Source organism: Homo sapiens, chromosome 3 (assembly GCF_000001405.40).
Source record: "Homo sapiens chromosome 3, GRCh38.p14 Primary Assembly".
Lineage (NCBI taxonomy): Eukaryota > Metazoa > Chordata > Mammalia > Primates > Hominidae > Homo > Homo sapiens.
In genome coordinates this window covers 10,682,175-10,706,529 of record NC_000003.12, presented here as the reverse complement: position 1 = coordinate 10,706,529, position 24,355 = coordinate 10,682,175, and the positions used below count along the sequence as shown (strand labels likewise).

The window sequence follows — 24,355 nt, the reverse complement described above, 5'->3', positions numbered from 1 at the left end:
CTGTCTATAGAATGTTAGGTAGAGACAAGATATCCCAATGCCCTCAGAAGCCCACTGGAGCCACTGGGTGGGCTAACTCTGGGCTGTGATTTCCTGCTGCTGCCATGGGAGAAACCAATACCTGATGTCTAACGGAAATGACGACAAAACCCAGCCATGGCGCCAGGAAGAGGCCCCCTCTGCATACAGTCTGGTGGGAACAGCATCATCTTCAGTCCTCCTCCATCTGTACCACTCTTCTCCACACCTCTGTGCGAGGTCATTCCTTCCCCCAGGGGTACTATTGGCAACAGAGGAGATGGCAGAGGGGTGAGGCTCATTCATTCATTCATTCATTCACTCACTCACTCACTCCCTAAGCCTTGATTCTTGCCTTCTGTGAGTCAGGAGGCACTTAGAAATACAGAGAGATCAACCACAGCTAGCGGAAATCAAGCTCCTACCAGGTGCAAGCACTTACTAAGCACTCTCAGAGACACACTCATTTGTTCATTTGATAAATTTGTATTAAGAACCTAATATGTGCTCAGCACTGTTTGATGTGCCAGAGGCATATTACTAAATAAAACAGACCTGGTCCCAGCTACGTAGGCCGGCTATATAGTTTGTCATCCAAACTGAGATACCTTGAGAGTGAGAGAGGGCACGATTAATAAAAATACCAGGACCACAGAGCATAAACCAGGAAGGTCCAACCACACTGGGCTGCAGGGCCACTCTGCAACCTTGTGGAGTTTATATACCAGTGTCTGGGGAGAAAGGTTAATATTTTTTGAGCAATTATTTTTTGCCAGGCTGTGTACGAAGCGCTTTTGGGGTTTCATCTGATTTAATCCTCACAATGCTATGAAGCCGGTGTTACCATCTACATGCAGCTGGTTAGTAGTAGAGCTGGGACCACCTCTGCTACTGACCTGCTGGGCTACCATGCTTCCCTAGAAATGGGTGAGACCCAGAGTCCAAGTGCTTGCACTGTCTCCAAGAGGACTTGTAGGCAGTAGCACAAACGATGTAATAGATGTGCAGTGGGAGCAGACAGAGTCTGCCTGGAAAAATCAGAGGCAGCTTTCTGGAGCAGGAAACCTGTAACCTGGACCTTGAAACATGAGTTATGACTTTGACAGACTGTGGGGAGGACATTACAGGTCCAGGTTGCTAGGGCTTGGAGGTGTAGGGGTATACGATCTATTTAGGAATACCACCCCCACAATAGGTCCAGATCCAATGGCAACAGGACAAGAGTTAGGTCTGAAACAGCAGGAGTCAGCAGAGATTAAGTCTAAGCCTGGTGCTATGGGACATGGTAAGTTCTGAATTTTAGAAGGATGTTTGGAAGATTTGACTGTTCTGTAGGTAGAGAGCAAAGAGAGAATTTGTTGTGCAGGATTTCTCTTGATAAGAATTTGCTATAACCCAGTCCATACTATGGACTGCCTGAAAGGTCATGGAAATCTTTTTGTTATATGGAATCACTGCAGAAGAATTTTGCTAGCATTTGTAACAGCAGAACAGTTTCACTAAGCAAACTGATTGCCAGCAAGAGAAATATTAACCTACTTAAGGGAGAGGATTTTTAGTAGCATAATTTGCAAATAAGAGAATATGCTTATTATAAATTAAATCTTTTCTTTGTGTTAAATTGCATACAAGAAACTCTAACTTCCTCCTCCCTTCCATCTTCTTTGTATCTCCCCTGTTGTCATATAAATCTGTTGCAGAGTAATAAAACTGCATTTCTTTAGTAATGTCTTATTTCTCAGACTTTTCATTAATTCAAACTGGCCTCCTTTCCACCCTCTCCAATTAAGTGGAATTATTGAAGCTTTATGGTATCTAAAAATTAGAATCTGCTAACTGAACCCAAAAAAGGGAGCTAACTATTGGGGCCTTGGGATTGAAAAATCAGGCTAGAAATATTTGGGAAGCAGAAGAGAATTGGACGGGAAGGAGGAGGGAGCAGGGCCAGCTTTGTGGATGTGTGGCCTGTGCTAAGAAGGGCTTTCCCGCTAGATTTAATGCTCTGCAGTCACCGTATTGCAATTCTTAGCAGTTTTTGAACAGGGGGCTACACGTTTTTATTTTGTACTGGGTCCCACAAATTAGGTAGCTGATACTTGGAAGGAGACAGCAGGGAAGAGGTGGGTGAAGAAAAAGGTAGAAAGAAGAGAAGAGCTATGGATAGGGCAGAGAGAAGAGAAACTAGCATGGTTTTAAGCCCCTGCCATATGCCACTTGCTATGTGAGATGCTTTTCCATGTGTATCTATTTTCATGGCAGTCCTAAGACGTAGGTGATATTATCATCATTTTAAAATATAGGTTTTATTATTATTCAGTTATGGCGAGGCCAACCACTCAGGAAATGATGGCCTCTAAAAAGAATTTTACTTGAGATTCCTAAGAGGCGAGGACATGCTATGCCACACAGGGCCACATGGGGAAGCCCTAGGGTCAGTCAGGAGGCAGAGGGAGTGAGGGGAAGATGGGGTAAGAGCCTTTACTGTGGCCTCCACAGGGAGGGATGGGTGAGGCAGGGTAAGCAGGCTCGGGGTTGGCTACTTTGAATAGTTTCAGCAGGCTCTGGGACACAGTGGCTGTTCCTAGTAGTATGGTACCTGCCCCCGGGTGACTAGGGCAGGGCAGTGTGGCCCAGTGGGCAGGGGTTCCATAAAGGAAGCGGTTGGGAAGATGGGCTGAGCATTTATGAAAGGGGCCCTCATGGGCCAGTCATTCACTATGTCAAGTAATTGGCTCTCTCTGGGAGGGACAGCCCCTCCAGGGTTAGCAAGGCCCCAGATGTCAAAGCATCAAATGCAGAAGCTAGAAAACATGGTTATTACAATCCCCATTTGACAGATGAGGAAACTGAGACTCGAAGAGATTTCCATAAACTGCCCAGCCAGAATCACTCAAGTAGAATGGCTGTGCGGGCTAAAAGGTGTGTGCTGATCCGGAGTTCTAGGAAATGGCAGATGTTGGGATGGTGTGGGAGTGGGCCCCATAAATAGCATCTCTCTTCCACACTCCTCCAACAATTTGAGGAACAAATGAGTGGCAGGTAGAGGAGCCGAATATAAATTTTCTCCCTAATAGAATAGAAGCAAAGTTGGAGGTCCTGGCTTCATGTGAGGGTGAGGGTCAAATGGGGGCCTACTAACTGATTCCCTAGAAGGAAGACCATGTGGAGGTCCTGCCCAGGTAGGCTTCACTCAGGTACAGAGGGCACAGCCAGGACAAGCTTTCTGCGCGCAGGACTCCCTCCCAGGAGGAGAAAGGGCAGAGACGCTGATTGTAGCCCATCCCTCTTCCCATGTTGACCAATAAGAGAAGACACCCCGCCTCCTGAGGGTGGAGCCAGGAAAGGGGCGGGCAAAGGCTGGAGTGAGCCGCTGAGGATTGTCTCCAGGGGAGAGACCTTTGAAGAATGACGGAGGACTGGGGATGTTCGTGCTAAAGCCTGTGACCGCCTTTCTTCCCTCATATATAACCGTCTGTAAGGCTGGGCATTTCACAGGGCCATAAGGAGAGGGGCTGCATAGCTTCCATCAGGCTTCCAGAGGGCTCTGTGACCCGAGAAATAGGAAGCAGACCTAAATTACAGAGAAAAGGAATGATGGGAGTGGGGGAATGCACAAGCCTCCGCTAATCTCATTACAGAGTAAAGGGAATATCCATTGGTCTTAGGAGAATGAATATGACAGGGACAGAAAATGCCTCCCTGTTTTTTCCAGCAGCAGCTCAGGTGCTATAAATACTGTGACACTGTAACATAACATCTAGGCAGGATTCTGGGGAGATGTAATGACCCGGTTCCTTATTTAAAAATAAAAAGTGGGACTTAGGAAAATGACCAAAGATTGTGCTGGGCAGAGCCCAAGTGAATGACCGTGCAAGCAGATGAACCTGGAAAGGCTGAACAGGTCCTTTTAGTGTGTCCGTGTGCAAAGACAAACATCAGCAATGAGCTGCACCTGTGCGATGCTCCATCCTCTCTATACCATTCTGCCTGGGAACGAGTCAGTGCTTTCTAATTGTGTCGCTGTGATCTTGGGTAAGTGGCTTCAGCTCTGTCTGTCTCAGTTTCCTCATCTATAAAAGCGATCCTAAGAGTGCCTGCCTCATGAGTACTTTTGGGAGAATGACAAGGACTAAGACAAGTCAAAGTCTCAGAATAGTGCCTGGCACACGCGGTAAGCACTTTCGGATGTCAGCTATTAGTGTTACTATCGTGATCACCTTGTAATTTACAGAGCACTTTTCACATATAATTTTTACCTTCTAGTCCTCACAGCAAGCCTGTGATGTGGCTAAATACCACTTCCTTTCCCCTACAAGGTGGCTACTCATTAATGAAGCCAGATCTCAAATCCGTTCCTTGGGTTTTCAGTTCCAAGCTGCTCTCACTGCTGTGGTAGCCACTCTGGGTAGCGGGAAGCCCACTGGTATGAAGATGTTGCTATCAGCTACTTCCTGGCTTCATGAGGTTGGGAGACTGGAAAACAGTGAAATGTTAGGCCCTGATAAGGGGGAGGTTGTGAGAAGAACAAGGAGTACCCAAAAAAGTAAAACTGGGCCTCAGTATCTGTTGTCCAGTTGTCACTATGTTTCGCAGAAGGTGAGACTGACTGGCTCTTTTCTTTTTCAAAAAAAAAAATTTGTATGCTCAGACGTAGGCACATAGTAGATGTGTGTGAAGAGTGATAGAGGACTGGAGATGTTTGTGCTAAAACCTGTGACCACCTTTCTTCCATCATACATAACAGTCTGTAAGGCTGGGCATTTCGCAGGGGCATACGGAGAGGGTCTGCATAGCTTTCCTCAGGCTTCCAGAGGGCTCTGCAACCCGAGAAATAGGAAGCAAACCTAAGTTGCAAACAAAAGAAATGATGGGTCTTGTCTTAAAAAAAAAAAAAAATTGCATCCTCAGACCTGGGCACATAGTAGGTGGTTAATAAATGTACATTGGATGAATGCGTTTCTTATGAAATACAAACTGTCACTCCTCAACAACAACGATGGGTACAACCACAATGAAAACAACTCTCTAGGATGAGGCCACCTTGCCTAAGTGATTGCTGTTCAGTGTTTCTCAGAAACTCATGGTAGGCTGTCAACTCGTGATTAACTTGAAAAATCTGCTTTTGGCGCTATTTGGAGAAATGAACTGTTGAAGTGAACATCTAGCAGTCATAATATAGAACTGGGTGAACCATGAAGGGTGAGGGTATAAGGAGGGTGCAGCATATAGGTGGGATATAAGAGGCTTCGTATATGAGACTGGTATAGAGACAGATGCCACATTGAATGGAATTTCTCCAACGCTGCCATCAGGAGTAGATAAGAGCATGAGGCCAGGAAAGTTCTACTCTCTCAGCAAATCAGTGCCTTTCTTGTCCTCTTCCTCCTCCCCCTCTTCCTCTTCTCTCTCTTCTTTTTAGTGTACTAATTTGGTTTGGTTAGTCATTCGTGCTATAGAAATATCTCCAGTTCCTTACTCTCTAGCCACATGATAAATTGAATTGGTTTACCTCTTTTGACATTAGTCATAGCCACATGCCTTACTTTGGCCAATGAGCTTTGAAAAGTGACATGTGTCATTTCTGGATGGAAGCTTTAATAACCACCATGCTGTTTGCTATTTTTCCCCATTTCTTCTCTTGGCAATCAAGGCAGCATGGAGATGGAACCTCCCTCAGTCTGGTTCTCTGAGTGAGAATGACACAGGGCAGAGCTCACAGCCAACCCATGATGGACATGTAGCATCAGTGAGAAGTAAGCCTTTGTTTTAAGCTATGGCACACTGGTCATGTTTGTTACTGAGCATAACTCAGTCCATTCTAACAGATGCCAGTAGGGCATGGACTGAAATAATCACAACTTGTTTGGAGATGTTTTTGAGTCTTTTCATTCCTTCAAGAATGATGCCAAAAATGTTAGTGTTTGAGGTATTACGAACACAAAATGGGGGAGAGACACAGCTCTGCAAGGTAATGGCTAGTCTCCCTACTGTGCATGGCATTTGTTGACTTCTCCAGTTTCACCCTGTCCTCATCTCTCCATGCTATGCCTGACAAGTCCACAACATCTTTGAAATGGGACACTTGTTTGCACATCTCCAGGCCTTTACTCATGCTCTGCCTAGAATGGGACATATCGCAGGAAATCATGTTATTTGTTGAGTGGCTTGGGTGGAGACAAGCGTGTGGGGGAGAGGGGAGCATTGGGCTTTTTCTGTGAGGCACAGAAGGCAGAACACTTAGGACAGAGAGTGAGATTCCTGTGCAATGTGAACGAGTTTGTTACCAATAGAGCTTGGTCTGGCACAGGAATGAGCTCACCACACTAGAAAGTTTCCAAGCAGAGGTGGGTGTCATGGAGGGGGATCCAGGTCATCAGAAGTATAGCACACTCTCCAATCCTGTCTCACATGACTTTCAGGAAGATTGCCCAAAGTAGGTTGATTTTAGCTGGAACTATATATGTATTTTTTCTCTTTTCAAAATAAAAGTAGCTTTTTTCACATTGTCTTAGTCTGTTTGTGCTATTGTAAGAGACCACTTGAAACCGGGTTATTTATAAGAAGAGAAATGTATGCGTTCACAGTTCTGAAGACTGAGAAGTCCAAGAGCATGGCACTGGCATCTTTCAAGGGTCTATTTACTGCATCATCCCATGGTGGAAGGTGGAAAGGCAAGCGTGAAGGACAGCAAAAGGGGGCTGAACTCACTTTTAAAACAAACCCAATCTCACCATAATGAACCCACTCTGGAGATAAAAACATTAATTCATTCATGAGGTCAGAGGCCCCATGATCTAATCACCTCTTAAAGGCCCCACCTTTCAACACTGTTGCATTGGGGATTAAGTTTCTAATGCATGAACTTTGGGGAACACACTTAAACTATCACATCCCCCAATTATAGAGATGTTATATAATGATTATGGAAAATTCAAGGGGTATTGAAAAATACAAAAAAGAAAGTAAAACTCTAATTAAACACCACAAAACAAAGCTAATCTCCATTAATATTTTGTCAAATGTCCTTCCAGACATTTCTCTATGATTGATAGATAAATAGATATTCTGTTTTTCTGTCCCTTTCTTTCACTCAGTAATAATGGTCATCTTAAATATCAATAAATATACTTCTACCTTATATTTTATAAGTGGCTTTGCCATGATTTACTTAATGTATTCCTTTCTCATGGGCACCTATGTTGTGTCCAGAATTTTGCTATTATAGACAACACTGTGATGAACATTCTTGTATGTGGACCCCTGGACACATGTCCAGGCATCTTCTGAGGATGAATTCCTAGAAGTGGAGTCACTGAATCAAAGAGAACTGTTTAGGGTGAAAGAAGAGAAGAGAGCTATGATATGATCAGGTAAAGAAATCCTTCCTGGCTTAGGGGCAGCTTGCAAAGGGTCTGACAGAAGAAAGATGAATAGGTGATTGTGGCTGGGCTGGAAGGCCGGAGGGAACCAGGATATAGGAAGTAGAAGAGAGGGAGGAGGAAATAGGAGCTGGTTTTCAAGGCCCGTAGGGCTTTAGAAGACCATCCCACAGGTGAAGGGTAAGAGTGGATGACGGTTATGATTTATGTAGAGTCAGGCAATTGTAAGTGCTTCTATGTGCACAGTCCCTTTGGAGCCTCACCACCACCCTGCAAGGAATGTCTCCATCCCCATTTTACAGAGGAGCAAAGCGAGGCCTGGAGAGGATGTGGCAAAAGGAGCCGTTGTCCTCAATTATAGTATGTGGGCTTCTTCACAACTCCAAACCTATCCTTTGCACATTCCCCAGGCTGGCTCGTGCCTCCAGTCTTTGCAGATGCCATCTTGTGGGAAGCCAGCTCCTGCTCACCCTTGCAAAGGAAGACTGGTCACATGAGACTTTTTTTGTGAAACTGTTCCTCAGACTCCCTATCCCCACCACCCAAAGCAAGGCAGAGCTGGTCAGGGTCCAGGAGGGATGTTCTGCAGGTCATTGTCAAAGTGTTAACAATTGTGTACTAACTGTTGAGCCAGGGAGCCTGCTTTTGACTTCAGTGAATTGGATTTCCTGACTCAGCTGACTTAAACATATGGCCCTTTCTTACCTCACATAATCAAAGGTGGATTAGCTCTGGAGTTGGTTAACCCAGTGGCTCATCCATGCCATCAAAACCCATGGTCCTTCTGTCTTTCTGCCATTGTCAACCAGAAGGCATTATCCCTGTCCAGAGCATCCCCTGAATATCTCACAGCACCCCAGGGACAAAAGGCAGGAGGTATCTCTGCGTTTCTTTTATCAGGGAGGAATTCTTTTCCAGACATCCCCACCAACCTCCTCTTGTGTCTCATTGGCTGGAATTGGGTCACGTGGCCATGCCTAAACCAATCATGGCCGAGGAATGAGCCCAGCAGGGATTAAATGGACCAGGACTTATCTCTGAGTCAGTTGAGAGCACAGGCAGAAACTGACACAGTCAGGGCTCTGCCAGCCAGGAAGTAGGAGGGAGTGTCCACTGGGGAGCAGCCCCTACCATCTGCCCCAACTGTACGCTGACTCTCCTGCCTCCCATCTAGGCAGGGAGCTTTGTGAGAACAAGGATTGAGACTTATTCCTTCCCAAGTCCCTTGAAGGCTAGCACAGGGCAAGGCACGTGGTAGGTATTGAGAAAAGTATTGGCTGAATGAATGAACGAATGAGTGAGTGAAATCAGTAGATGTTTCTCCATCAAACCCTGAGATTTAGGATTTGCTGCACGCCTGTCAATTTGAGGGGATGGTTTAGGTACTTCAGAGAGCATAGGAATGGCTTTGTCCTCAAAGATGTTGCAATTTAGTTGTCGAGAAAATGCTAGAACCTAAGAAAAATTTGGACTTGAGGCCTGGCCTCTAAGGCAGACTGTATGTGCCATGGGGTGGGGAGCAGGGAATACATCCATAGGAAGAGGCCCCAGAGATGGGCAGAGGTATGTCGTGGAGAAAAACATCTCTGTCCTCAAACAGTGGAGGAGAGTGCGATAGAGCCTAAAGGGGACTCTTTCTGGAGGGCCTACTGTATGTTGGGTATTGTCCTTATACTTATTTTATCTCATCTTTCCTGTGTCTCTATGGAGTAGATCCTTCTGTCCCCATTTTATAGATGCTGAGGCTCAGAGGGTGAGGTTGCTTGCCCAAAGTCACACAGCCAGGAGGTCATAGGATCTGACTTACAGCACAGATCTGTTCTGAAAAGCTGGCTCCCTTCTGCAAAGGGGCTGTGATGACTATTCAGGGCCCACATGAGACCAGCAGGTGGTGGAGTGACTGAAAGGGAAGCCTGGAAACTGACAAGAAGGCCTAGGAAAGGCGTGGTGCAGTGAAAATGCAGAGGAAAAAAAGCACAATGGGAGAGGTGTTTGTAATAGGATTCAGGGTGGGCTTGAGGAGCCATGGTCTTTGGCATCGAATCTGACTTCAAATCCCTGCCCTGCCAGTGAACAGCTATGTGACCTTAGGGAAAACACTCCCTTCCCTGTACCTCAATTTTCCATCTGTAAAATGATGATAATAGTTCAATGTTTCCAGTACCAAGCATATCATAAAAATTTAATAATGGAGCTATTCTTACTATCAATAGTGTTGTTATTGGTTTGGAACTTGGTAGGTAACCAGACCTAATGGCGACTCCTTGGTGCAGGGACCCTGGGCTTCTATTCTATCTTGGTTACCACCTCCACATTTCACCTTGACTTCATTGGCTTTCCTGCCAGTCTGGCTTTCCATTCTTCACCCAAAAAGTAAAGGGATTGGGATGGTTGGTTTCTAGCATTCTCTCTTGCCCAAACTCTGCCCTTGTGTGAGGTGGAAAGGGGGAGCTGCAATGACTAAAGGGATCAGAAGTGAGTGAGGGGGTGTCAGGGCTGCCTTTGTTGCTGTGAAGCAGAGGGAAGGCAGGGCAGGGGATGGAAGGAAGAGCAACCAGGAGCCAGAGGAGGCTACAGAGTCAGCAAGTCCAGGCAGCTGCGGAAACCCTGCGCCAGGCCATTTGGAGGTGGGCACGGAGAGGAAAGGCTGAAACCAAAGGAGGCAGAAGAGCATGGAGAACATCTGCATCTGACACCTGCCCTCGCTGTGGGAGAACCAGAGAGAGAGAGAGAGAGGAATCAATCGCAGCTCATCCTGATGTTTAATACCTGGGAGGCAGGGCTTTGAAGACTGTGTGTTCAAAGACTGAAATTGAATTTCCCCAAAGTTTGCAGGAACACTGCAATTATGCCGGAGAACATGTCTATGAAATCCCCTTGGAATCTATTTTTGGGCACAAGGTTTTATAACCAGAGTCAGAAATTGAGTGGAAGTGTGTGGGAGGCTGACCCTGGACAGTTTCCATGTTGGAGAGGAGGGGAAAGAGTATTTTTATCTGCAAACACCGTGTTTCATAGGGTGAGGCTGGGGAGGAGGCAGTTTCACCACTTTGGGTTTCTCACCCACTGTTATGTTAAGACGAGAACTATCTTTGACAGAAGTTGTTCAAGTTCCTTACTCAGAGTGGGTGGCTGGGGGCTGGGATTGAGGTGGGGAACTTATGTGGGACTTTGTATGTTGCAACCAAGACATCTGAGACTGACTTTGCCAGAGACTTTTTCAGATCTGTCTTGTGGGAATGTCACCATGTTCAGGGAGCTTTGTCTAGCTGAAGATTGCCTCCTGCACTGCTGTATCACTATTAGCAATTGCTATGTGACAAACTGCTCCAGAGTCAGCATCTTAAAATAGTAAGCATGTCTTGTTGCTGAAAAATCTACAGGTCAGCTAAATGATGCTTCTGGTCCTGGCTGGTTCTCTCACTTGTCTGTAGTCTGCTGTAGGTCAGGTAGGTAGCTCTGTGGATCCTGGCGGGCTCTCTCACTTGGTTAGGGGTTGGCTGGCTCTAGGCTGGTCTGGGATGACCTCAGTTGTGACAACTCTCCTTTACTCTATGTAGTGTCTGCCCTAGCCTGTGTTTGTTCACGTAACAGTGGTAGAGTTATGAGAGAGAGAGAGCAAGCAGCATGCAAGGACTCTTGAGACCTAGGCTCAGAATTGGCAGTTTATATGGTTTGGCTGTGTCCCCATCCAAATCTCATTTTGAACTCCCATGTGTTGTGGGAGGGACCCGGTGGGAGGTAATTGAATCATGGGAGCAGGTCTTTCATGTGCTGTTCTCATGATAGTGAATAAGGCTCACAAGATCTGATGGTTTTAAAAAGAGGAATTCCCCTGCACAAGCTGTCTCTCTCTCTCTCTCTCTCTCTCTCTCTCTCTCCCTCCCTCCCTCCTTTGCCTGCTACCATCCATGTAAGATGTGCCTTACTCCTCCTTGCTTTCCACCATGATTGTGAGGCTTCCCCAGCCACGTGGAACTGTAAGTCCATTAAACCACTTTCTTCAGTAAATTGCCCAGTCTTGGGTATATGTTTATCGGCAGCATGAAAACAGACTCATACAGCAGTGTCATTTCTAGTGACACTGTTGGCCAAAGCAAGTCACAGGGTCACCCAAAATTCAAAGAGTGGGGACATAGACTTCCCCTTTTAATCACAAGCAGCCACAACATCACACTGGAAATGGCTTGCATACAGGCCAGCCATTAATTAGGGCCATAGAGACCTTCAGTTTGCACAGCTGCCAAAATCAGCATTGACCTCTAGGGCTGTCAGCAGAGAGGGAGGGGGGAAGGGGGCAGGCAGACATCCCTACTTAAGTCTTTGTAATGCCCAAGATCCCCTTAATGTGCAAAGAGTTTTCCAGAAGTGTTTTATTGGTAGAATCAGGAAAATGTATATCCCCAAACAATGAGTGATCAATTTTCACTCATCAGACTGACAGAAATTGAAAAATGTGATGCTATCAAGTATTGGTGAGAATGGAGAAGAAATAGGTGCCATATACTCTGCTGGTCAGAGTTTTCATGCCACAGCCCATTGAGGGCAATTCAGCAGCACCTACTTGAATTAAAAATACATTCATGTGTTAAACAGCTGTGGTCCATCCACCCCGTGGAACAGTACTCAGCAATAAGAAGGAACAAACTATTGATACACACAACAACCTGAATGAACCTCGAGGAGTGCAAAATGCCAGTCCTAAAAAGTTACATACTGCATGATGTCATTTATGTAACATTAGTGAAATGACCTAATTACTGAGATGAGAACAGTCTGCTGGTTGTCAAAGGTTAGGGATGGGGGAGAGAGCCATTCGGCTGTAAAGGGGTAGTACGAAGGAGTCTTGTGGTGATGGTCCAGTTGAGTACCTTGATAGTGGTGGTGGTTATGCAAAGGTAATGTGATAAAATTGCATGGAGCTACATATGCACTTGTGCACACACACAGACACATACAAAGATGGGTGCCTGTATGACTAGTGAAATCTGAAGAAGCTCTGTGGATTGTAACAATGCCCATTTCTTGGTTTTGGTATTATACTTTATTTATGCAAATGTTAACTTTGGGGGAGGCTAGGGGAAGGAGTGCATGTGTCTTCCCTGTACATTTCCTTGCAACTTCCTGTGAACCTTTACTTCCAAATAAAAAGTTATAAATAAAGACACAGGTGCTCTGGCCTGGTAAGCCCACTGCATGGTGCCTGCAACAGAGACATGGTCCCACGCCCAGAGAGGCTTATGCAGAGATGATCACTGAACATCATTTGATATCAAGGCATTGGAATGACCTAGATGTATTTGTTCACCTAATAATCATCTATTGGCTTCCTACTATGTGCCAGGCAGTGTGCCAGGCTCTGGGGATATAACCATAACCAAAATAAACCAAGTTCCTGTCCTCGTGGAGTTTGCATTCTAGTGATTGCCCCACAAGAGGGAGCTGATTCCACATAACAGAAACAAAGAAATGAAGTAGGCTCATATCTCTATTGCTAGAATGGTTCTATCTCTGGAACATATCACCGCAAAGAAACAGCAAGAAGCAGAATCAGGCGTTTGTTACGCCATTTGTTTTAAAAATAGCAAAGGAGCCACAGTCAAATGAAGGAAGCATCAAGCTTTGCTGTGTACTTTACTGGGAGTTAATCCTGTCCACCTAACTGGAATGGAAGCCTGTGAGGGCAGGGGGTTTTGTCTTTTTTGTTCCTTGCAGTGCTCCCACACCAGAGCAGGCCTGTCACATAGGAGGCACTCACATATCTGCTAGGGAAAAGAGTAGATTGTACCCATTTCACAGGTTGGCCAATGGAAGCAGGAGGCCCTTAGCCATGGCATATTGGATTCTCCACTATAAGAGTTATGAAATGTGCGTTGAATATCCATGACTTTAAAAATACCAGATACTGTTTCTTTCAACTGTGTCATCAGAAACATATTTCCCCAGCCCCCAAAAAGTGTGATTGTCAAGCCTTAGATCCACAGGTTGTTGGTTGTGGAATGACTTCACACTTTTGTGTTTTGCGATACAGTGTGTCAGGCAGGCCTTCCTGCATTATCTCATTTAATGTGCCTATCAATCCTGTCTGGAAGAAAATGGACATTCATACATCTTCTATCTGCCCCCAGGCCCCAGCCCCTGATGTAAGTTTGTAGGCACACAATGACAGGTGACTGGAAGCAGAAGAGCCTGTTGCAGGATCCAGGGCTGCCAGTGAGTAAGGCCCAGTCACCCACCCACCCACCCACATAGGAATCCCCCAGTGAGTGCACAGTGTCTGGCGGGTGTGGGCTCCCATTTTCCTCTGCTCCTGGCTCATTCTGTCCCCCACCACATGTCCTGGGGTCAGTGACTGCTCCTGGGCATATCGCTGTGAACCAGGCCTAATGCTGTCCTCATAAACTTGCAGGCTAGTTGGGAGGACAGGGAAGCAGGCATAAGGTCTACCCAGTGTTGCCCTGGGGAGGCCGGGAACCCACATCCTGGAGGTTCATAACCCACAAGGTGCTGCCACTCCTCACTGTTCCCATCAGAGGATCATAAACCATCCTTTCAAGTGCCAGCCAAGATGATGAAACATGAAGATGCTCTTGAGGTCACCAAGAGAATCATTTCAGACCCAGGGATCCCCCCAGAACGTGCGCATCCAGTAGCTACTGTGATCGTGACCTCGATGTGTCCCCTCATCCATCTCCTGTCGGGTCCCTGTGAACATTTATTACCCTGCTGCAGAAAAAGTCTGCGAGGCCAGATGACTTGTCTGCAGCCGGCAAGCCTCGGCGCCCACAAAGCAGAAATTAATGAATGACGGTTGGGGGGAGAGGCAGGGAATAGGACAGCAGCTATTTTAGGCTCACTTTGCCAAAGCAGATCCTAATGCCTGCATCTATGTGTTAACTCTGCCTGCCCTTTGAACAGAAATTGAAATCACATTGGCTTGGATTTTGTTTGCTTGCCACCTCCAGGCTTGTATGTCTTATAAAAATATGCAGATTTTGAACTAATAAAAAATAGAGCCACTTTGAAAATCAATTCTCTCTCTCTCTCTGATTTAATATAATTCGTAAAAACTTTCTCAAACCCAGTAAAATAAAGTTGGAATCTCATGAGTTCAAATTCTGACTTACTTTCTAACTGTAACTAGGTCTCTCTGGGCTTTAGTTTTCTCAGTTGTAAAGTGGGGATCAGACCATCGCAGTATTGGAAGACGAAGCAAGATATGTGGGAAAGCTCCTAGCACCTGTCATTCCTTGGATATGAGACTTCTTAGACATAAAGGAAACCATCACCCCTTTCTGCAACTATGGAAATATGGTGTTCATGGATCATCTACTTTTCCCTGAGCACCTCCTAAGTGCAGACATGTAGAAACCCTGGAGAACCCATGGTGCCCTCTGGAGCTGGCATTCAGCGCTGGGCTCAAGTGTTGTGGAAATAGACCTGTGTTTGGGTGATGTCTTGTCTCTGAAAAGCAGCAGTTTGTTTCCATGGATAAGCCAGAGCATTTCTCCTCCTGGTTTCTGGCTTTGTCAGGCCCAGAGTCGGGGAGCTGACGTGGAGAAACAGAAGAGGTGAACGTGAGCTGGGTGGTGGTGGAGCAGACTGCTGAGTGAAGCCCTAGGGCCCCACAGAGGAGCTGTCTGGATGCTCAGTCCAAGGAACCACAGCTGGAAAAGCCCAGGACCTCAGGCCCCTCCAGGACAGAAGGGACAACTAGTCTTGGTCCTCCCATAACTACTGAGGTATGTGGGGCCTGGAAACCAGAGAGGGAAGAGGCTTAAAGTGGTGGCCCTGGGGACCCACCTCATCGTACTCATGGCACAGAATACCTTTCTTCATGGTATGATCCATTGTACGGTTATTTTATGATCGCTACTGTATGAACAAGAGATGTAGAGTTATTCCTATCCCCATATTGCAGACAAGACCCCTGAGGCTCCAAGAAACTAAGGAACCTTCTAGAAGTCACACAGCCTGCAAGGGGCCAGGTCAGAATTTCCCTGCAAGGCTTGTGCTGTTTCCATTCCTGTTTTAAAAGAAGCATTCATATTTGATTTGAAAGCATCTGGTTAGAAAGAACTGGACACCCTGAGTAGGCTTTTGGAAAGTGCCTTCCACACAGATAAGCAATTCAATAAAGAAACAGCAAATACTTGTTCAGCACCTACTATGTGCCAGGCACTGTCTTAGGCATTTGAGATTCATCGACGAATAAAGTGGTTACTTAATAGGTGGTTATGGATTTGAGTTGGAAGAATTTGATTCTAAGTCTTTCTTAAAATGGGTGTGGGCCTCTTATAATTCATAACCAGGTGAGAATTCATATAATTCATATAATTCATAACCAGGGCAGTTGACATTGCCCGTCAATAAGTGAATGATTTTCCTCTAGGATCTGATTTTGCTGCCCTTCTTTTCTTCTCCACACAGCCCTGGTGCACTCGGACAAACCCTGCACGGCTCAGCCACTCTTCTGTCTCTGGGGGTGGTTCTGAGAAAAGTGTTATGCATCTGCCTCATGCCGTTTAATCATCAAAAGGAAAGTTTAAAGTAGCTTAAGAGCTTGAGTAAGGTGGCAACCTTTAGAAACCTCAGTTTCCTCATCTGTAAAATGGAGAGAATAGTAACTTTTGTTAAGGGGTGAAGGAGATATATAGATAGATAGATAGATAGATAGATAGATAGATAGATAGATAGATATAGATATAGATATTCTGTTTTTTTCTATATGTTAGCTCTCTATCCATCTCTCTATCTCTATCTGATTGCTCTGTCTATGCCGGCATGTGCAAATTCTCAGGAGGTGCCAGCTGTTAGGAGGATGACGGGGCGCTGTTCTGCAGCAATGGCTGCCCGCGCAGTGGATTGGATGTTGTGTCTCTTACTGATTTTAAAGGGGCCTCCTTCGAGAATCAGCAGTTTGTCCCCCCCTATGTCAAGCCTGGACGGAGAACAAAGTTGTAGCTGTGGCTTTCTCTTTGCCCTTTCAAAACAAAGAATTGTATGCTTTTGACATGAACATTGTTGTTGCTGTTTGACTGCCCCCAGAGCCTTTGTGTCTGCTCTGCAGTTGGAGGACAGAGTCCTCTGCATGTGGGGGACAGGGATAGGCGGTGGACTGGCAGTGGATTGGCAGGCACTGGCACCCTCCCTTTGGTTCTGGACTCTCTGTAGAGCTTCTGTGGCTGCCCACTGCTCCCTTTTGGGTGTTCCCCATTCCTCTGTTCACCCTACCCTCACTGAGGACCTACTTTGTGGACCTGCCTGCCCAAGCCCACCTCGGGGTGGAGGGTGCGCAGCAATGCTTGGATTGCACGTCAGAGTGTGATAAACCAGGTCGGAGACTCACATCCACCAGCCTCCCTCCACGTGCTGGAGTACAGCATCTGAGTGGTTTCCCGGCAACCAAACGAGGCCAGGGCAATGCTGGTCCATGACAGGGTTCCCCGTCCTCAGCAGGATGAGGAGGATGGTGAGAGCTTTCTAGAAAGCTAAGAGAAAGGAGGCCCTTTTATCCTGAGGTTGTGGCCTTTCTACTCTTTCAGTGTTAAAATGGCCTTTCTTCTATAATGTTGATGACCAAGGAGGTCTTATTTTTTTTAATGTTGGTATCTGGCAATGCTAGATTGACTTAGTTCATGTTTTCTTTGTTTTGTGTTAATTTTACTGGCCTGAGACATCCTTAAGTCTGGGAAACACTGAATTATTCTATTTGGACAGGAGGTGTTATTTTATTTAATTTTACTGCCAATTCTGTGAAATAGATGCCTTTCCCGTCACACAGTTGAGAAAACTAAGGTGTGGAGAGGCACTTCCCCAGAGCAGCAAAGGCAAGCTTCATACCTGGTTCTGACTCCTACCAAAACCCTCATGTGCCCCGCCACCCACAAGCTCCAGACTACTCTAAAAGAGGCTCAGAATGGCTAACGGTGGTAGAGCTCATAGAATATATGGAGATCTGCACCAGGTAACGCAAGGATTTGCTCCTTATCTAGATCACAGGAAGGCTCAGGTGTCCCCATTAGCTGAATGGTGCTAACACGTGGGCCTACAGCTTTGGCTCTTCAAATCTGATATCCTTTGTGTTGGTCAAACCCTCACATGCAATCCAAAGAGGATCTCTACTAGTCATGGACCTGCCCTCCTCCCCACCCCCACACCAGGTAATGACAGGGTGGACATTGGCCAGGTGGTTTCCACATCTGCACCATGGAGGGAAAGAGCCTGGTGATTGCTTCACTTTGCCTTTTTCAACCGAAGGCCACCCTAATACCTTTGTGGGCTGCATCCCAAGATGTCTTCACTGCATTTCCATCCTCAGTCAAGCGAGGAATTCCATCCCACTGGTCCAGTGTCCAGGGGTAGTTAATGGCTTGCATTTTGGTGAGTCAGCACTTTGAGGGTTTTGTAAAGGACTTTGCTGGTTTGGCTGCATCCGCTGGCCATAGGAGGCCTGGCGCAGGAGACATCACACCACTGTGGAGGGCTGCTCACCTTAACGTTGTCCCTGTCTGAGAGCAAATTTTCTTTCTCCGGTGGCTTTCTTGGGGGACCTGGGTCATTTGGCACAAGCCAACAGGGACACATCTATAACTAAAATGGAGTTGGACTAATTTTTGAGTAGCTGGTTTCCCTGCTGATCTTGAACAGCAGGAATTAGAGGCAAAAGCCCCAAAGAAACATGTTGAATGAAGTAAGACAAGCCCCCATTCTAGGTCTTCACTCTGGAGAGTCAATGTGCAGTTGATGACAAGCTCCTTAGGGGCCAGTGTCTCCCCTTGAAATTGATGTGCCCTTCTGACCCACCACTGGGGCCCTCTGCTGGGCTGGAGCTCAGTGGAGAACAGCAGCCAAACTTGGTTGTTTTCTGGGTCTTTGCATTTGAGGAGCAAACGCAAACCTGGTATGTTTTGTCTTCTGGGCATTCTTAGGAACCTTATGAGGCAGACAGGTGTGGACTGGCCTCTCTCACAATTGGAGAAACTGAAGCTAGAGGCAGGAAAGTGATAAACCTTGGTTTTCTCACCTGGAAAATGGAAACAACATCTAATAACTTCCTCATAGGGGTCATGGTAAGAATTTAATGAATATGTAATATGAATAAAGATAATGTGTGTATTTTATATATATAATATCAAAACCAGTGCTTGTCCCATAGGAATTTTCAATAAATATTGGCTTTGGCTGTTATTATTATTATTTCTAAGGTCACCCAGCTAATAACTGGCAGATGTCTTGCGGCCCAATGGTTCTTTTTTACTGTTATTTTTTTGAGTCAGAGTCTCACTCTGTCACCCAGGCTGGAGTGCGGTGGTGTGATCTCAGCTCACTGCAACCTCCACTTCCCAGGTTCAAACAATTCTCAGGCCTCAGCCTCCCAAGTAGGTGGGATTACAAGTGTGCACCACTACGCCTGGCTAATTTTTGTATTTTTAGGAGAGATGGGGTTTCACCATCTTGGCCAGGCTGGTCCTGAACTCCTGCCCTCAAATGATTGGCCCTTCTCAGCCTCTCAAAGTGCTGGGATTACAGGCATGAGCCACCTCATCTGGGTCCAATGGCTCTTTTTATTTCCATCTTTAAATCACCTAATTCTTTGTTTTCCCACTAAAATTTGAAAGTCTGCTTAGAGCGAGCTTTCTCCAAAGTTGTTCCCAGAAGATTCTAAACTGAAGAAAACTATATTGACCTGAAATACTACTGGAAAGGCAGCTTACATTTGATTCATTTTGAAAATCAAGCATCAAAAACATTCCTTAGCCCACCAAGATAATATAAGTTAACAATGCCTGGGCACTCCGTCTGCACCAGGCACTGTACTGAGCATTTTATGAGGATTATGTTGCTTAATCCTCACAGCAACACTTTGGGGAAAGGTACTTGTGTTGTTCCCATGTTAAGTATAAGGAAACTGGGGTGCAGAAGGGTTAAGTGGCTACCCAAGGCAGCAAGTAAAAGGCAGAAGTGATCCCCAAACTCCTGCTCTTTAATCCCTAAGGTGTATGGGTATTACAAGGCCTTCCATGTAGTTGCAACTTTTCTGTACTGCTTATTTGGGCCTTGCATGACCCATATCGTGGTCCCTATCAGCTGCAGCTGTGTATTCTCAGTAGCCTGTGGGCTTTCAGAAGGCAGGGCTCTAGCCCCTCAACTGTGCCTCTCTAATATCCCAGACTCCTCTTTGGGCTTCAGTCTCTTCATTTGTAAAATGGACATATTAGGTGGCATCTGTACTACATGCCACTCCCACCCCAGTGATTCAGAACTAGTGGCTTAGTGGCTTTCAGGAATCAAGGCTCACTTCATCTGCTCTTGGTTTTATTTCTTAAAAGGTATAGGGCTTACTGGTGAGAAACTGTTCTCAATTTACTCATCTGTGAAATAGGGTGATTCTGAGGATTTAGTGGGAAGGCAACAAGCACCTAGCACAGTGCCTGGAACACAAAAAGTGCTGAATGATTGCGTGCTTTTTTTTTTTTGAGATGGAGTCTCGCACTGTCGCCTAGGCTGGAGTGCAGTGGCATGATCTTGGCTCACTGCAAGCTCTGCCTCCTGGGTTCGTGCCATTCTCCTGCCTCAGCCTCCCGAGTAGCTGGGACTACAGGCACCCACCACCACGCATGGCTAATTTTTTGTATTTTTAGTAGAGATGGGGTTTCACCGTGTTAGCCAGGATGGTCTCGATCTCCTGACCTTGCAATCCGCCCGCCTCGGCCTCCCAAAGTGCTGGGATTACAGGCCTGAGCCACCACGCCCAGCCAATTGTGTGCTTTTAAAAACAGACGTGATACTATTCTATTGAGACACTTGTCACAGATACTCATGGGTGTCCCAAGACATAATCTCTGTCCTCCACAAGACTAACATCAGTTTGAGGAAACTGTCTAGAGTTTGAGTGATCTCTTGGTGCTTTTCTGTGGGGAACAGTGTGACCCAGGCTGTCTTTTATCAGAGAGGCATTGACCTGTCTGTGTTTAGAGAAATTAAAATTTCCACCCTATATGCTTCAGATGAGGGCAACCACAAGGCATTAGGCCAGTGGGAATCAAGAAAGGAGGACCGTCTCAAAAAAAAAAAAAAAAAAAAAAAGAAAGGAGGAAAGAAAGACAGGGAACCAGGAAGAAAGACGAGCTGGAATAAGCATTTTGCAGCTTAGCCCCAAGAGGAGAATGAGAGACACATTAAAACAGTCACCCCTGCTGCAAATGGATTCATTTGATTGAAGGTGGTCACAGATGTCACGTAAAAAGAAATTTAGTTTTAGAAATGGGAAGCCTTCTCATATAGGGCTTAAAGAAGAAATCAGTGAGGAATGGAACTAGAATTCTGGTTGTCAAAGATGTGTCCATCATAAACGTTCAGGCATAAGTCCCTGCTGTCACACATGTATGGGATCATGTGTGTTCCTGCATGTGCACACATGCCCACCACTAGACCATAGGGTGCTTTGGGGCACATTAGGAAAAGGCAGCCCCCTCTGGGTGGAAGCAGCCACATGGCACATTGCTTGGCCAGTGGACAGTGGGCTGGATAGAAGCCCCCTCTTCTTCTCTGCCCAGGAGTGTGTGGTCCTGCACAGGGGTATACGTGCACACACACACACACACATACACACACTCTCTCTCTCTCTCTCTCAGGCAAGTGAGGAGACCTTTAGCCAAGGTCTGGTAATCTCACAGTGAACTGGAGACACCTCAGCTGGAGTCCCCACGGAACACCCAGCAGTACTTGCCTTCCAAGAGTCACTTCCACAAAACCCACAGCTTCACGCTGCTTGCTCAGCTGCCTGCTTGAAGATCATCTGTTCTGTTCTGTACCTCTTCAGGACCCGTCTGGTCCCAGCGAGCACACTTATTGGCTTGACTTCAGAATACAGTTTTATTCCTGCCGTTAGATACCTGCTTTTGCTGGAAAACAAGCCTCAGGCCTTTGCCGTTTACAGAGTGCCTCATTTGATCCTCACAGCAACCCCAGGGATTAAACAGTGGGGACTTAGCACACCCGTTTTACAGATGAGGAAATGTTCTCTGAGAAGAACCTCAGAGAAGGAGAACATCATCGGTGGCCTGGATTTAGAGAGTCTGTCTACCATCGCCTGGTCTTGAGTGATCTCAGTTTGGCTTTTGCTAAATTCCCTCAAAACTGTGAACATTCATCTTCTCCCAGGCTTAGTTTGTCCCTGTCCCCTCTGACCTGAACCTCCATCCTGACCAACTATCTTCCATAATGAACTTAACGACAGCAGAGACTTAAGCACTGTCTTGATTTTATCATTGTCTCGAGTAAAATAGCCATCCAATTGGCAAAGATCACCCTTGGAACTTGTTGCCATAGACTTAATTAGACTTTGTTGCTAGTGTGACCCCTTTGTGGCCATTGCCATGGTCATCATTTGCTACAAACCTGCTCCTAAGAGCTGGACCTTGATCCGGACATATTGGATGCTTCTTTTTAGAAATTGCTTTCAGAGCTTAGGTCCCATTGCCCCAGATACTCTAACGATGATAAATCTTCATCCTGATTTTCATTGAGACAGATAGCATATCAGTGGCAGGCCTGGAGTGGCTACTAAATAGATAATTGTTGAATGAACCTATTAATTTGTGAAACCTTTGAGGGTGATGTTTAATAAGACTCTTTCAGTTGCTGGTGACCAGATCGCAGCACAAACTAGTTTAAGCAAGAAAGGGATTGGTTCACATAACTGCAAAGTACAAGGATGAGGGTGTCAGGCACAGCTGAATCCAGAGGCTGAAATCATATTACTAGGGCTCAGTTTTCCTCTCCTTCTCTCAGCTCTGCTTTTCAGCATTCCAGGTGGTCACCAGTTGTTCTAGGGCTGATGTGGCTCTTATATCCAGTTCACAAACTTAAACAAAGATTAGTCTTCTCCTTCCTTTATCCATAAACAGATCCCATAAAGGGGCTGGCATTGGCCCTGCTTAGGTCATGTGCCATCCCTTTAGACCAATCATTGAGTACCACAGGATGAGCTACCATGATTGGCCAGACCTGGGTCACTTGCCCACCCATGAGATTTGAAGGCAGGGAAGCATGTGATTGACAGTTTTACTCAAGCCCCATTGGATGGGAAAGGGACAATTCTCCAATGGAGCTGCTCACTACAAGGGTAGATGAGGTTTCTGGAAAGAGCACAGTGTCAGAAGGGTAGTCTAATAAAGATTATAATTTAAGTCCCAGATACTTACTTGGGAGGCTGAGGCAGGAAGGTTGCTTGAGGCCAGGAGTTCGAGGATGCCGTGAGTGAGCTATGATCATGCCACTGCACTCCAGCCCAGGTAACAGAGCGAGACCCTGTCTCTTTACATATATATATATATATATATATATATATATATATATATATATATACACACACACACATATATATACACATATATATACACACACACATGTATATACATATATACATATACATATGTGTATATATATATTTCTAGCTATAAGGCTTTGGGTAAAAAAATGAGATAAATAAAATAACAAGTTATTGAATGATTTACCACTTATCTTAAAAGTGGTGCTGGCAGTGATAGTTTCATTGCTAGCAACCTAGAAATAACTGATCTGGTGCCTCTCTTGGGGACTGCTTTGTCTGGCAGAGGATCTTAAGGTTGGAGTTTATATTATTCAATTACCATATTCCCCTTTCCCCAGTTCCACATGAAGAATGAGTAGTACCATGAATTCAGCAAAACCCAAGCAACACTGACCCTATTCCTGCCTTCCCAACCCATGAGGAAGTTTTCCAATATCACAATTAATTAGCGGTATCTTCCCTCACATTCCTCCCTCTGTGCCTCTTTCTGTGACTCATCCAAAGGATTGGAGAGTGTGGTTACAAATGCAGGCCCTGTGGCCACATGAACCTGGGTTCTGATTCCAGAACTCTCCCTTGTGATTTGACTTCTATGAGCCCAAGTTTCCTCATCAGTAAAATAAAAAAAAAAATTTTTTTTTAATTAAAAAATAAAAAAGTAAAAGAAAAAAAAAACCCTGGCAGAGGGGTTGTAAAGGTCAGATGAGATAATGGAGGTGAAGTACACATACAAAGACTCAGTGGCCATTTGCATGATTATTATTAGTATCCACATTCGTTTTATGTCCCTGTCTTTTACCCAATTGCATACAGAGGGCTAACATGGGCACAGCACATTACCGTTTGCAGGAGTGTGTGCACACGATGAATGGGTTTGCCTCCTCTTCTGACCTTTGTTCTTTGGTTACAAAGCTGCTTCTGTGGCCCCCTGCCATGTGCCTGTGGTTGTCCCATCAGAAGCCGGTGGGATCATGACCTGACCCAGTAAGGCCTTCCACTTTCAGCTCTTTGTTTAACCAATGGTCACCAAGCATCTGCTCTGGGTAGGGACAGACTAGATATGGAGGATTTGGGGGTTTCTTGTGTTAGCCTTGGATCCATTCACCTAGACCCTCACTGGACTTGCTTCTGCCCTAGTGGGAAGTTCTTGCACTCAGAGTCCACAGGAAACGTACCCCTAAATGCCACCCATCTCCCAGGTCTGTCCTCTTAATAGGTTACACTCACTAAGCATTTCCCATGCACTTTGTAAAGATTTGACATCTACTTACTTATTTAACCATCACAATGGCCCTACAAGAGAAGCATTGTCACTGTCACATTTCTTTTACAGCAAAGAAACTGAGGCACAGAGAAGTTAAGCCATTCAAACTCCAGGTGCATGAAGGAGCTGGGGGTGCAAGCTAAGCCCATAGTCTCAGCCAATATCTGAGACCACAGTGCTGTGATTTGTGCTTCCTTTCTCAGGTTTTAATCTGGGAGTCCTCCCTACCTCTGGTGGTAACACATTCATTTAAATGGGAGTCAGTGGCCCAAACTTGCTATCAGGGCAAAGAGGATTTCAGACTTTGTGGTGGAGGCAGATGGAAAGTCCATGGCAAAATTTATGAGGCATGGATGG

General features: G+C 45.8%; 1 protein-coding gene across 5 annotated transcripts in view; it reads left to right on the top strand.

The window, feature by feature from the left end:
* ATP2B2 (ATPase plasma membrane Ca2+ transporting 2) overlaps nucleotides 1-24,355 on the top strand; it is a 384,094-nt gene that overhangs the window by 1,587 nt on the left and 358,152 nt on the right. Inside the window, exon 1 of one of the 5 annotated variants that reach the window (XM_017006481.3) lies at nucleotides 14,945-15,139. The exons of 3 other annotated variants lie outside the window; for them this stretch is intronic. The gene's annotated coding sequence lies outside the window, so the exon portion shown is untranslated. Of the gene's footprint in view, nucleotides 1-14,944; nucleotides 15,140-24,355 lie in introns of those variants that run through there. One more of the 5 variants, XM_005265179.6, reaches the window with a different exon arrangement.